A 14,650-nucleotide genomic window follows, 5' to 3' on the forward strand; every position below is an offset into this window, starting at 1 on the left:
ACCCGGGAGGCAGAGGTGGCAGTGAGCACTGCACTCCAGCCTGGGCAACAGAGCAAGACTCCATCTCAAAAAAAAACAAAAACAAAAACAAAAAAAAAAAAACAGAATACTTTCCAAATTAGCTAAAGAAAAATAGCCACATGGATTCCTTCATTCTATTCTCAAGGACAACACTGTACACTATCAGGAAATATTCAAATATTCTATCTACACATCACTTTTCATTTGTACTGCCAAACCCCATTTCATCAATGTTTACTGAAGACATATTCAGAGTCAGGTATTTTATCAGATGGTGGGGTACAAAATGAGTAAAACAGAGTACTTGCTCTAAAAAAACTGAGGATCTAGTTAAGAGAAACAAACCAAAAAAAACTGAAAATAGGAAGCTAAAGAACATCAACGAAGAAGCACTAAGAATCTTGCACTGAGTCAACTAGTTCTCTTGTTTATAAATCTGTTAAGGTGGATCTTATTGAGGGGAATTTTATCCATTGATTAATGAAGAAATCCCTGCTGCTACTCACCCTGGTACAAGCTACTTGTGGGGGAAGTGTAGGAATTAAGCTGTTAAAAAGACCTTGACTGCTAACCTTGTGAGTTAAAGCCTGAGGCTCTCATTGAAACTCTGTATTAGGAGTATTAACACACATCGCACAGCTCTCCCAATTAGCATTAACAGAGGCCCATCTCAGGACCTCATTTTCTGCTGCTCCAAAAGATACCTAGCTTCCCCAAATGAATGTCATATATGTCAAAGAACCTATATTTTCCATATTATTATAACTAGCAGCTTCCAACAAGCTTGAGAACAGAGGATGTGAAGGGAACAAACAGATGCCTGCCTTGCTGCAGACAATGATACAGAGATAACAGAAATGGTCTTTTTCATCCTTGGAATCTAGTACATAGCCCAAATTTTGTTCATGGTAAAAGCTTAACCATTTTCTTTTAAATAAAGGGCATTTCTAAAAGTGTAGTCAAGAAATTGCAAGTTAACTCTTAAGGACTGTAGTCCCCCGAGTCCTCCACCAAGCCAAAGGGATGAGAATACATGAGGGGAAATGAGACTGAAAAGGTAGGCAAGAGGTCTACCACAAAGGGCCATGTATGCCATTCTAAGAAATACAGACATTATCCTTTAGGACACTGAAGGACTTTAAGAAAATCAGATTTGCATTTCAGAAAGATCATCCCCAGGGAGTAAAGGAGGAAGTCTAGATGTTTCTGGAAAGGAAGAAAACATTGAAGAATCAGACTACTGAAAAGATTATTACAGTAAGTTAGGTGGATAATGAGGGCCCCTTACCAAGGCACTCACAATGTAAACTCATTCATTCAAAAACTCGTATGTAGAATCTATTATTATTCAGAAAATAAAATCAATTATACTTGATGACCATTTGGAAGTTAGAAATGGAGAGTGAATCCAGGCTGAGGATGACTCCTTGGTTCTTGGCTTAAGGCAACAGCATGGTTATGATGAATGGAAATACAGTACGAACAAGAGAGAAGAATAGTTTGGAGGGAGGACCACATGCTAGTTTTGGGTATGTTTGTGGAAACAACCTAACAGACATCCTTGACTCCAGGTTCTCTTCCTTGCACACTGCTACTAAACTGAACTCAAGAAAAGCATTCTATTTAGGAATATATGCTGCCAACCTATTTCTTGGAACATTAATTCTAAACTGGCTTTCAAGATCCTCTGAGGCCTATTCGCTCCAGTTGTACAAGCTCATTTCTTACCATGACATTTCTAAATATTCACCTTCCTCTACCCTGGTCATCTTGCTGATCTTTTCAATGTTCCACCCACCATGCTCACCCCGGCACAAGCTACTTGGTTGGGAATCAAGCTGGTCAGAAAGACCTTGACTGCTAACCTTTTGAGTTTAAGCCTGAGGCTCTCACTTGAAACTCTGTATTAGGAATATTAACACACATCGCACAGCTCTCCCAATTAGCACTAACAGGCCTCTCTCAGGACCTCATTTTCTGCTGCTCTAAAACTAGCTTCCCCAAATGAATTGCATTTATGTCCTGGGTTGTCAGACTGGCCTGGGTTGTCCATAGAATTCTATTGTCACATATCTAAAGCTCACTTATTATTTAAAGAACTTCAGCCATCCCACCCACCCTACCCTCAAACCTATATTTACAGTACATATCACATATTTTAAATATTATACCCCAACATATTGTGTCCTGTGATCTCCCCACGTGGACAGACCTCTACATCCTTGGAGGGAATGGAGGTATTTGTTTCCTCATAGCATGGTCAGTTATAAGTCTAAAAACTGTTGTTAACCAAATTTTAAGGTTATTTCAGTCCTATGTTTTTAAACAATAAGTAAACTAACAGTTAATAGTGCTCCAAATCTTTATGGCTTTTCTGGTCAGTCTCTTGTTCCAAAATTCAAAGATTAGGATTACAATGTTTCCTTTGCTCTCATCCCTCACACAGTGCCAGGCCTTTATAAAACACTCTCCCATGGGGGAAAAAATGCAGCCAGGCTTCTGCTCTGGCTCAAGATGACTCCTTCTTAACATACTATTCGTAAAGTGTCCTCAATTCACCTGTTATCTCCTATGCCCTCCACTTTCTTGCAAATCTGTTCTCCAACCACACTGAATTTAACCAATGTTTACTGAGTGAATTTAATTAAGCAAGGCAAAACGTGTCTTGCTTTTCCATACTTTAAGTGCTCCCTGCTCTTCTCTTTGCCTGGAATGCCCTTCCTTTTTTCACCTGACAAATTCCTAATCATCTGTAGGACCCCAAAAAATGCCACCTCCTCTAGTGAAACTTCCGCAGTTTCCTTAGACAGAGGTGGTCATTCATTAGGGTCTTCCACATCCTGATGAATTATTTGCTGACACACTCTCCTTGCTACATCCTTAGCTTTTTAGAATCAGGACTGTTTCATTCTTACATTCCCAGCACAGTGTCTGACACTCAATGAGTCCCAATAAACCAATGTCATTCATCCAAAACACACCTTTTAAGGAATGTATAATACACCCTCTTAAGAACTGTAGTCCCCTGAGTCCTCCAGCAAGACGTGTAAAGGGAATTGCCTCCGGAACACTTCTGGAATCGCAGGAAGCCTGTATTCAAGTCAAAGCTCTTACAAGTGCTATTATTGGGAACCGCTGATCAGAACGCGCTTCTCAGGACCACGTTCAGCTCATATATAAAAGCCATCGACGTGCTGCTTTGGATGAAAATCGTTTTCTCTAGATTCTCTGGGGCTACGGCTAGTCACGCTAAATATCACTTATCCCTAATAGCGCTCATATCCCTGGAGAGATTTTTAAATCAATTGCCTAACAGACCTCACTACGTACAACTTTGAACAAGTCTGTGGGGACCACAAAAGCACAGATGACAGGGTTCTTAAGGTTAACAAGGCCTCGGTCCCACACTAAGCTTTTAAAACTCGGGAGGCAGCAGTTGCAAAAGCAAGCCTCAGGCTGCTCACCTTCTAGGATGGACACGACGATGAGCAATTGGTCGGATTTGGAGACCATGGTTGCGGTGAGCGGTCCGGGGGCGAAGGCGGCTGGGGGGAAGTGAGGTCCAGTTGAGTCGCGGGTAATCCGGGACCCCCGGCGGGACCCCCACTGCCCGCCCCCGGTCCCTGATGCCCGGACCCCGCTCCGCAGCCAGGTCCCACCGCCGTCTGCTGCAGCGCGCCCGGCTCCTCTGCCTCGGGCCGCCAGCCCAGATCCTAACTGTGCCCCGACTCAAGGAAAAAGCCACGCTGCAGCCCTGCCAGTCTGCAAGCAGAGACAAGCCCGCCACCCGAGGACCTTTTGCCGCCTGCGTAGCCGCTTTTCAAACGCCCGGGCGGCCGCAGCGGCCGCCGCCGCGCCCAGCTTCCGCCTAGCAACCAGGCCCGCAGGCCCAGTGCCCAGGGGAGGTTGGAGGACAACGGGTGATAGAGACAGAGCAGTCAAGGCTAGAACGCCCGTCAGCGAGCTTCGCCTCCCGCCCTTTTACGCTCTGTTCCAGAGCCCTAAGGAGGACGCCTTCATTACCTCACAGCGCCCTCTGCTAGCCGGACGAGGAGAGGCGGGCGACTTGGTGTGGGACCAGCTGCGCAAGCGCACTACTGCTGTAAACGCTTCCTGAAGCTGCGTAGCCTTTAAGGAGCGTGAGTGTAGCGTATTACCTGCTTTATGCTTCAGCCACAACCTGAGAGTTATATTAGTGGGGATTAAAAAAACAAAAAAACCTAGCTTAGTTGACGTACCCAGTGTCAACACTGCTTAAAAAATTAAATCACAAAAAAATAATGACTTAAATCTAAACTCTAAAGTCCCTAAATCGTGCTCACGCGGCACCTCAAATTTCCGACCTTTGAAAACAAGTAGCTTCAATACGGTAATTACTGTACTTGTTAAAGCTGACGTAAACTCCCCGAGAATTTCCTGTCCCTTAGAAATTACCCCTAAAACAAAAACACTGTCACGTGGGCAATGAAATATAAAGGTTCTTCCACCCCCGATGACAAAGTTATTAGCAAACTCAAAACCAAAAATAAACAAGGCATTGAGGTGCTGTCTGCCGACCCTTTCCCCTTAACGTCTCCCAAATTCAGATTTAAGAAACGGTTCAAGACTTGTAAAGGGAACGGCCTCCTAAACACTACTCAAATTGCAAGAAGCATGTATTCAAGTCAAAGGCAAAGTTCTTTTGGAGGTTATCTAGCTTGAAACTTAAATAACCGAATTGGTTGGAGCGATCGTGGACACTATTAAGTTTGGGAAAAATTCTGCTTCGGAAAACAAAAGTAAATCATAATAAAATAAAGCTGCAGAGATAGCACTAGGTAGTGGACATAAGTGCGGCTTCTCCTATTACTTTCTGGTTTTGTAAATTGAGAAGTTGTTTTGAGAGCAAATATAATATCTCGCTGTTTTCTTTTTCTTCTATTGCTTCCTTGTTTTGGAAATTTAGAAGTTATTTTGAGAGCAAATAATATAATATCACTATTGTTTTCTTCTTCCTCTTCTTTATTCTTCCTTCTTTGCTTTCTGCCCAAAAGAAAAGGAGGAATATGTAGAGATTGGACTAATTACTTCTAAGGCCCTTTCAGGTCCTATCACAGGCATTCTTAAAATGAAGCACTATTCAATGTAAAATCAAAGTAATGATCTACTTTGGATTCATCATTGAACAATGCATTATTTTTGTGGAAGATGTCAAACATACTTTAAAGAAAGCAGAATGATATAATGAACCCCCAGTTACCCAGACCCCAGCTTCAACGATTATCAACTTAAGACCAATCATCTTCATCTGTTGTGTTATTTTTAAAGAAATCCCCAACATCACATCAATTCATCTTTTTGGATACGTACTTCTAAAAGATGAAGACTTTTTGGCCAGGTGTGGTAGTGGCTCACATCTGTAATCCCAGCACTTTGGGAGGCTGAGGTGGGCGGATCACTTGAGTCAGGAGTTCGAGACCAACCTGGCCAACATAGCAGAACTCCGTCTCTACTAAAAATACAAAAATTAGCCAGACGTGGTAGCGCAAGCCAGAAATCCCAGCTACTTGGGAGGCTGAAGCACGAGAAGGCTGAGGCACGAGAATCGCTTGAAATCATGAGGCAGAGGTTGCAGTGAGCCGGTATCATGCCACAGCGCTCCAGCCTGGGCCACAGAGAAAGACTCAGTCTCAAAAAAAAAAAAAAAAAAAAAGATAACGACTTCTTAAAGAATCTTAAAATATTAAGTATTTAACCACAATCCCATTATTACACTTAATAATTAACAAAAATTTCTTAATCCCATTAAATATATACTGTTCAAATTTCTCTGATTGTCTAATAATTTGTTTGCAGTCGGTTTTTTCAAATCAGGATCCAAACAAGTTCCAAAATACAATGGTTGGTATGTCTCTTGTCTTTTTTAATGTATATGGTTAGGCTTTGTGCCCCCACCAAAATCTCATTTTGAATTGTAATCCCCACAACCCCCAAGTGTCAAGGAAGGGACCAGATGGAGGTAATTGAATCATGGGGGTGGTTTCCTCCATGCTATTCTCCTGATAGTCAGTGAGTTCTCAGGAGATCTGACGGTTTTATTAAGCGCTCTTCCCCCTTTACTCACTCACTCTTCTCCTTCTTGCTGCCTTGTGAGGAAGGTGCCTTGCTTCCCCTTTGCCTTCTGCCATGACCATAAGTTTCCTGAGGCCTCCCTAGCCATGCTGAACTATGAGTCAATTAAACCTCTTTCCTTTTGAAATTACCCAGTCTTGGGCAGTTCTTTATAGTAGTATGAAAACGGACTAATGGAGGTACCCAATCCTTCTTTTTTTTTTCTTGAAATTCTTTATTGAAGAAACTGGTCGTGTCTGCAGAGTTTACCACAGTCTGAATTTTGTTGGTATAATACCAATGTTGTGGTTTAACATATCCTCTGTTGAGAAGTCTAATAAATATGTACACATTAACAACACTTAAAGATTAGGAAACAAATTAACCACAAGCGAAGTATAATGTTATCAGTGGTGCAAGACAGTACTTAGCATTATAGACAAAGAGAGGCCCAAGTACCTCTGATGGAATGAGTACCCCAGAAGATCAGAGTTTGGGACCTACCTTTGCTATTTGCATGTCAGGTGACCTTAAGCAAATCACTTTCCCTCTTTGAGCCTCAGTTTCAGCTATAAAACGATAGTATGCATGGTTCTTTAGTGCAGGACTTAAATGTAGTAAATGCCACTTAGTTACTATTTTTTATATGAACAATCTCAGACTTTAAGTAGTAGCTGTGAAAAGAGCCAGGAACTGTCCATCAGCATACCTTGTTGTTTTGCTTTAGGATATCTAGCAGGGCTTCACACCTAGATTATAAACCATTACTGTATGCCATAGAATAGTTTTAGGTCATAAAAAATCTGACAGATTATTAAAATTAACAAAGAAACTTTTTCATGTAGTAAATTTCACATGATTCCCTTTATTTGGATTTTCCTCCTGAACAACATCATTTCTAAAATCACTTTCAGCACAGCTACTGAAAAGTCACCAATTTAGTTGGCCTGGTGCTTCCTCTAACAGAATGTACAAAATCAATGATATGAAATTCCTCATCTAGAAATGGAATTATAATCCTATCATCATCTATATCTGTTTTTCTATAATCTAATTTCCTTTCATATGTGATATTAAACAGTAGTAACTTCAGTTCTAGTATAAATCATCACATTTAAGCTTAAATTTATGAGGGAAAATCTTGTTGTAAGTTAATAAAGTACCAATTACTGTTTCAAAATATGTAAGTAAATGCTAGTAACATGTAATTTTTATCTATAAGACAATATGAGATTCATTACACTATAAGCTTATAAATTTAAACTGACAGGTTTTTTATTTTATTTATTTATTTTTTGAGATGGAGTCTTGCTCTGTCACCCACGCTGGAGTGCAGTGGTACGATCTTGGCTCACAGCTCACTGCAACCTCCGCCTCCCAGGTTCAAGTGATTCTCCTGCCTCAACCTCCTGAGTAGCTGGGATTACAGGTGCACACCACTACACCCAGCTCATTTTTATATTTTTAGTAGAGATGAAGTTTCACCGTGTTGTCCAGGCTGGTTTCGAACTCCTGACCTCAGGTGATTCACCCGCTTTGGTCTCCCAAAGTGTTGGGATTACAGGTGTGAGCCACCACGCCTGGGTGAAACTGACAGAATTGATGAAAGGCTTGATTCTGAATTTATTAGTTTGTCAACCTAGTAACTAATCATATTAGGTGGCTTTCTATTTCCATAACTTTCTATCAAAAAAAGAATAAAACAAAGCATTCTGACATATTTTAAGACTTTCTTTGCTGTAGTTGTTTTACCTTTTGGAAAAACATTTTACTTTGTAGGATTTCTCTATATTTTTTTTCGTCAACCACTTCTGTGGACCACCACAGGAGGAATGATGAGCTATGTTTCTCTTCTTCAGCCTCTTCCACTGTATACACACAAATACACACACACTTCATAAAATTTTAGGCAAGCTCCCAAAGACTAATAAAATTAGCCCATCTGTTGAATAACTGCAGTTTGTAAAAGCATGGTGCCAGACCCAACTTCAAGAGGTGCTTCTAAAATTGCCTCCATTAGAAAGAGGCAATGGGCATGAAAGTGATAACTAGTCCTCATCGCTTAGTGTCAAGAAGACAGAACCCTTTCAATTCAGGATCTACTGTAATTTAACTTGGCAATTAATTTAGGCATCTTTGATCCCTGGAAGAAGGGCCTCTAACATCTATCATAAGAGAGGCAAGATAACCCAGTATCAAAGAGTCATATGTCCCTGAATTTCAGGTTCCATGACTTATTAGCTTTGTGACTTAGCCAAGTCACTTATCTCTGAACCTGTTTTTCCATCTGTAAAACAGGGTATTAGTCCTTTCCTCACATGGTTTTTGTCAGAATTAAATGGGATTGCTTCTGTGAGGGGCCTAGGACACGATGAAATCGCCAAACGTGGTAGCTAGTTTTATTGTTAGTATGGAGGGATAATTTGTTGTGGGATTATTTTGAAATTTGTTCCCTTTCTTTGGTTCTACAAAGGTAACCAGACCCTTATATTCCCTCACCTTGGCCTATATTTATATTCTACTGGTGATATCCCCAAAACAGCTCCTATCTCCCTGGCTTCTTTTAATTTTTGTGGGCACGTAGTAGGTATACATATTTATGGGTTATGTGAGATATTTTGATACAGGTCTGCAATGCATAATATCTCCCTGACTTCTGTGAAAACACCACAATAGAGCATGCCAAAGTCAAACCATCCTGCAGGTCAGGTATGGTCAAGTAGTGAAGTGGGCTGGCAGGGTGAGGGCAGAAGTATGGCACACAGCTGTCTCAAGGAGCAGCCCTGCTCTGCTCCCGCTGATCATTGCCATGCAATAAGACAGATTGTAAGTTTCATAAGGAGATAGAATTACAGATTTTTATGTGAACTCATGCAAATTTTAAATGCCGATAATGAAATTTAGTTTAAAAACAAAAAGCAGACCAGGTGCAGTGGCTCATGCCTATAATCCCAGCACTTTATGAGGCCAAGGCAGGCAGATCACTTGAGGCCAGGAGTTTGAGACCACCCTGGCCACCATGGCCAAACCCCATCTCTATGAAATATACAAAAATTAGCTGGGCGTGGTGACACACACCTGTAGTCCCAGCTACTCAGGAAGCTGAGGCATGAGAATTGCTTGAACCTGGGAGGCAAGGTTGCAGTGAGCCAAGATTGCATCACTGCATTCCAGCCTGGGTGATAGAGCAAGGCTCTGTCTCAAAAAAAATCACCAAACACTTCTGCCAGCCACAGGTTAGTTACCTTCAGCCAAATTCATTGAGATGGTTGTGATAGATGTCAGGGCAGAGAAAAGACGGCAGTAAATAAAAGAGATTGCCTAAAGCTAGGAAGAAACAGGATGAAGGAAAGTGTAGTGGGGACCAACATTCCACTCTTTGGCAGAGCCTTGGGCAGGGAACAGACACAGAAAGTGGCCCCGTGGGAACCCTAGAGAAGTGAGACCATAGGTCCTGGTTTATTATCCTTGGCATAGATTCTTATGCCCTAATTTGACAGACTCAGCAGGTTGGCTTGGGTATTAGCTTATCAGTGACCAGTAAGGCAAGAGCCAGCAAGGCCTCCCCCAATATTTGCTCTGTGTGAGAACTCCAGCACCTTTGCCCAGCACTTTGTATGTGGAGAGGGAAGACCCAGTGATTACTGAGATTGAATTTCCTGTTGATTGGCAGAAGGAGATTGGGGTTGAATTTGAGTATAAAGAAAAGCAACATTTCTTGCACACTGTCCTTTGTGTTGTAAGCTTCATGGGATTACTTTAGACTGAGATGAGCGTTGAGCCACTCTGTTGTGGTGTGTGTCACAGTGGCTCTCCCTGAGGCAAGGTATAGAGTGGAGGGTGGGAGAATGCTCCCTACTCCATGGAGGAAAGGCAGAGGTAGGGACATTCTGGAACTACAGCAAAGGGTTTCAGGCCAACAAAAAATGCTGCTCAGGTTTGCTTTGAAAAAACTATGCCATTGGTAAAATGACCACATTCTAGAGACAGATGACTTGTGAATGGGCTTCATTTTAGGAGTAGAGATTGGAACAGATGGTAGATGCTGGAATCCCTCTCTGTAACACTGTGACATTGAGGAACATTATATGACATTGTGGGACTTTGATTCACTTATTGTGTAATGTCTGATGTGTGTGGATTTTTTTTCATCCAAAAATCTTTCTTTTGACACCCCGGAGCCAATAGCAGAGGAAGAGCTGGTGCCGGCCTACTCAGCTGTCTGCTAAAGAAATTCCCCAGGCTCTGGTTGAGTGTTTTGGCCCATAAAAGTCTGACCCCAGTAAATGATAACACAGAATCTTCTGTACTACAGGCTATCTCTGGCAGAAGAGTTCTATTTAATGCTGACATTACAAGTACACCTGAAGGTTATAAAACTATCCCCTACTTCTCTGTGTTTCAAGGAACAAAATAGATAAATAAATAAATTATAACAACAGTCAATAGTAACCCCCCTCCCCTTTGAATTCAGAGGAAGGTTCTAAACATACAACCTGGGTTCAGAGAAAAGAAAAGCCTCCATCATATATTAAGCAACTGCACAAGAAGTTTCCGCAGCCAGCAGCTAGTAAGCTGAGTCACCCATTTCACAAGGGGTATAACAAAGCTCTATCCCTTGACTATTGCATCAGCCACAAAACTGTTCTTCCTGAATTATGGTATGTGTTTCTGCTGCCAACATAATGCTTTGTATTTGCATAAATGTGTATGTTTCTAAGCAGGTTCTAGCAAGTGTAACAGTTAACAGCAAGTTGAATGGTGACTTTTATTTATTGCCTTAGTGTTACTGACAGGTGACAGCGTGCTGGCAGTCCTCACAGCCCTCGTTCGCTCTCGGCGCCTCCTCTGCCTGGGCTCCCACTTTGGCGGCACTTGAGGACCCCTTCAGCCCACCACTGCACTGTGGGAGCCCCTTTCTGGGCTGGCCAAGGCCGGAGCCGGCTTCCTCAGCTTGCAGGGAGGTGTGGAGGGAGAGGCGCAAGCGGGAACCGGGGCTGCGCGCGGCGCTTGCGGGCCAGCGCGAGTTCCGGGTGGGCGTGGGCTTGGCGGGCCCCGCACTCGGAGCAGCCGGCCAGCCCTGCCGGCCCCAGGCAATGAGGGGCTTAGCACCCGGGCCAGCGGCTGCGGAGGGTGTACTGGGTCCCGAGCAGTGCCAGCCCACCGGCGCTGCTGCGCTCGATTTCTCGCCGGGCCTTAGCTGCCTTCCCGTGGGGCAGGGCTCAGGACCTGCAGCCCGCCATGCCTGAGCCTCCCACCCCCTCCGTGGGCTCCTGTGCGGCCCGAGCCTCCTCGACGAGCGCCACCCCCTGCTCCACGGCGCCCAGTCCCATCGGCGCCCAGTCCCAAGGGCTGAGGAGTGCGGGCGCACGGCGGGGGACTGGCAGGCAGCTCCACCTGCAGCCCCGGTGCGGGATCCACTGGGTGAAGCCAGCTGGGCTCCTGAGTCTGGTGGGGACGTGGAGAACCTTTATGTGTAGCTCAGGGATTGTAAATACACCAATTGGCACTCTGTATCTAGCCCAAGGTTTGTAAACACACCAATCAGCACCCTGTGTCTAGCTCAGGGTTTGTGAATGCACCAATTGACACTCTGTATCTAGCTACTCTGGTGGGGGCCTTGGAGAACCTTTGTGTGGACACTCTGTATCTAGCTAATCTGGTGGGGAGGTGGAGAACCTTTGTGTCTAGCTCAGGGATTGTAAACGCACCAATCAGCACCCTGTCAAAACAGACCACTCGGCTCTACCAATCAGCAGGATGTGGGTGGGGCCAGATAAGAGAATAAAAGCAGGCTGCCAGAGCCAGCAGTGGCAACCCGCTAGGGTCCCCTTCCACACTGGGGAAGCTTTGTTCTTTCACTCTTTGCAATAAATCTTGCTACTGCTCACTCTTTGGGTCCACACTGCTTTTATGAGCTGTAACACTCACCGTGAAGGTCTGCAGCTTCACTCCTGAAGCCAGAGAGACCACGAGCCCACCGGGAGGAACCAACAACTCCAGACGCGCTGCCTTAACAGCTGTAACACTCACCGCGAAGGTCTGCAGCTTCACTCCTGAGCCAGCGAGACCATGAACCCACCAGAAGGAAGAAACTGGGAACACATCCGAACATCAGAAGGAACAAACTCCAGATGCGCCACTTTAAGAACCGTAACACTCACCGCGAGGGTCCGCGGCTTCATTCTTGAAGTCAGTGAGACCAAGAACCCACCAATTCCAGACACATTATCACCTATGACCCAAGGGATGACAAAGAGGCGTTGTGTCCCCCTTCTCTAAAGAACACCCAAGGAAACTGAGGCACAGATACCACTCCCAGTCTTGGTAAGAGGAGATGACACTGACTTTGCTACCCTCAGCCATCAACTTAGCACCACCTAACTTTATATTACTAGATGATGAGCAGAGGAGTATTGAGTGATAAGCCTGAGGTCTTTTCTGTTTAGAAGGTGGGAGCACTTCCCTTTCTCACCCCAAGCCAGGTAGAAGAGGGCAGGTAAAGGGAACCTCTCACAGAGATGAGTGAACTTGCTAATCAGCAATTCACCATTAATGCTTGAGTAGAAAGAAAAGAGAGAAAGACTGTGCGTGTATGTGTGTGTGTGTGTGAGAGAGAGAGAGAGATGATGAATTGATTAGCAGCCTGTGTCCAAATTTGTTGTGGCAAAAATGTGTGAGATTCCTGTGGGTGAAAAGAATATAACGGCAGGTCACTTTCAGTGATTTTGGTGTCCAAGTTGACAGGCCACCCGGTGAGAAGACTGAAGCAGCATAACGTTACCTGGTATAGAATCCAAAATAAGAACTGATTTGGTTTCAAAAGAGGTGAGCAGATGTCAGAAGTCACTGAGTTATGCAGGTCTCTCAGAACAGAATATATGGCACCGGGACCCCCCACTCCACCACTCTGCAACATCAACCCAGAAATAACACGTGTCCCAGGAGAGACTCTACATTTAGCTGGGATCCACTTAGCATCAGCGACTGATGGATCTTTAACAGAAAAAGAGCAAGAGACAAGTGAGGAACACAGCCACATGGCTAAGTTAAGGATATTTGTAGTCTGTCTCTGATCCCCAGGAAAAGGCTCCCAAAAACAGGAGTGAAAAAAATTGATCCCGCTCCCACCCGAATCCAAGTCCCTCAGACAGAAACTTTGCTGAAATTGGCGGGGTAGGAGGAGATGAGACTTCAAATAGATATGAGATGAAATTTTAAATTCGATCAAAATGGAATGAACTGACATTTTAATAGTTGGAAGTGATCAGAAAGCTTATGGTATCTGACAAAGTTGTGATTAAGGGATGGGAAAAAGAGATTCAGTGGAACATAGCTGAAAGCAATATTTGGAGAAAAATTGAACTATTTCATATTTGTACTTGACCCAAGTTCAGATTGTTGAATAAACCAGTCATACATATTGCCCCTTTTGATCTCCTAAGCAACACTGTGGGAGGAAAAGCAGGGGATTTACCATCTTTTAACAGATGAGAAAATCTGAAGTTTGATAACCTGAGCGATTTGATAACAATCAGAGCTCAGGTCTTCTGAGTGCTTGTGTTAAGCTACCCAAGTTATTCTCAAATTACCCTGAGAACATGGAGCTGTGCCAGGAAACTGGAGTAGAAACAGTATATCATGTTGTAGAGCAACAATGTTCATCAATGGTAAGAAATTAAAACATTGTATTTATAATAAAACAAATAGAAACTATGCGGATACAATAAACATTTGCATGATTTATTTATTATTATTTTTGGAGATAGGGTCTCACTCTGTCAGCCAGGCTAGAGTTCAGTGGCATGATCATGGCTCACTGCAGCCGCAATCTCCAGAGCTCAGATGATTCTCCCACCTCAGCCTCCTGAGTAGCTGGGACTATGGGCATGCACTACCATGACCAGCTAGTTTTTTGATTTTTTGTAGAGACGGTATTTAGCCATCTGGCCCAAGCTGGTCTGAAACTGCTGGGCTCAAGCAATCTGCCTGCCTTGGCCTCCCAAAGTGTTGAGATTACAGACATTGGCCACCACGCATGGCCTTGCATGATTTTTAAATATAAAATATAATACCTCAGAGAAATTTGTTTTGGATTACATCTTCAGCCTTCAACCTACAGAAACCATGTCCATGTTAACTCTCCTCTGCACTTAAGAAGTAACTTGGGGAAACTTTGAGAAGCTCATCACCCACATTCTTGAGCCAGATCACATTAAAAGCTGTTTGGATTAGTAAAAGGGGAACATTTCCTAATGTTTAAGAGGAAGTAATGTGCTACTTCCATATTATGCTCCATGGGGTAGAAGAAGATTAAAGTTATTATTCCAATTACATGTTAAAATCGTTGTTACATCAATATAGTGAATGAAATTTTTAGGAAGTTTCACTTGGATATTCTAGTACTCCAGATACATTTGGCTGAATGTTTAACTGAGAGGTACCCTTATAATTGCTGAGTGTGAAAACAGGATGTTAGTGTACTCTATAAATGGTTATGAATGTGAAGTACTTTTGCTAATCATAAAATTGATTAATA

The 14,650-nt window shown here is 43.3% G+C and overlaps 1 protein-coding gene across 10 annotated transcripts in view, besides 2 other annotated features; it reads right to left on the minus strand.

Moving 5' to 3' along the window:
• The window catches only part of CEP120 (centrosomal protein 120), a 78,951-nt gene extending 74,573 nt beyond the window's left edge, over positions 1 to 4,378 (minus strand). For 5 of the 10 annotated variants that reach the window (NR_164685.1, NM_001375406.1, NM_001375405.1 and 2 more), the window contains exon 1: positions 3,486 to 3,939. Coding sequence is in view for 4 of the 10 variants with exons in the window: in NM_001375406.1 (NP_001362335.1) it covers positions 3,486 to 3,534 (49 nt within the window). In the remaining 6 variants the exon portion in view is untranslated. Of the gene's footprint in view, positions 1 to 3,002; positions 3,403 to 3,485; positions 3,940 to 4,044 lie in introns of those variants that run through there. The other 5 variants (NM_153223.4, NM_001375408.1, NM_001166226.2 and 2 more) reach the window with 4 other exon arrangements.
• Positions 3,205 to 4,150: an enhancer, noted in NCBI's record as "H3K27ac hESC enhancer chr5:122758363-122759308 (GRCh37/hg19 assembly coordinates)". NCBI's record gives its function as "activates a minimal SCP1, AML or CMV promoter by ChIP-STARR-seq in primed H9 embryonic stem cells {active_cell/tissue: H9 hESC(primed)}" and the evidence as "EXISTENCE:reporter gene assay evidence [ECO:0000049][PMID:30033119]".
• Positions 3,480 to 3,639: a silencer, noted in NCBI's record as "silent region_16273". NCBI's record gives its function as "represses an Ori minimal core promoter by ATAC-STARR-seq in GM12878 lymphoblastoid cells {active_cell/tissue: GM12878}" and the evidence as "EXISTENCE:reporter gene assay evidence [ECO:0000049][PMID:35858748]".

The sequence above is a fragment of the Homo sapiens genome, chromosome 5 (genome assembly GCF_000001405.40).
Source record: "Homo sapiens chromosome 5, GRCh38.p14 Primary Assembly".
NCBI classification, from domain to species: domain Eukaryota; kingdom Metazoa; phylum Chordata; class Mammalia; order Primates; family Hominidae; genus Homo; species Homo sapiens.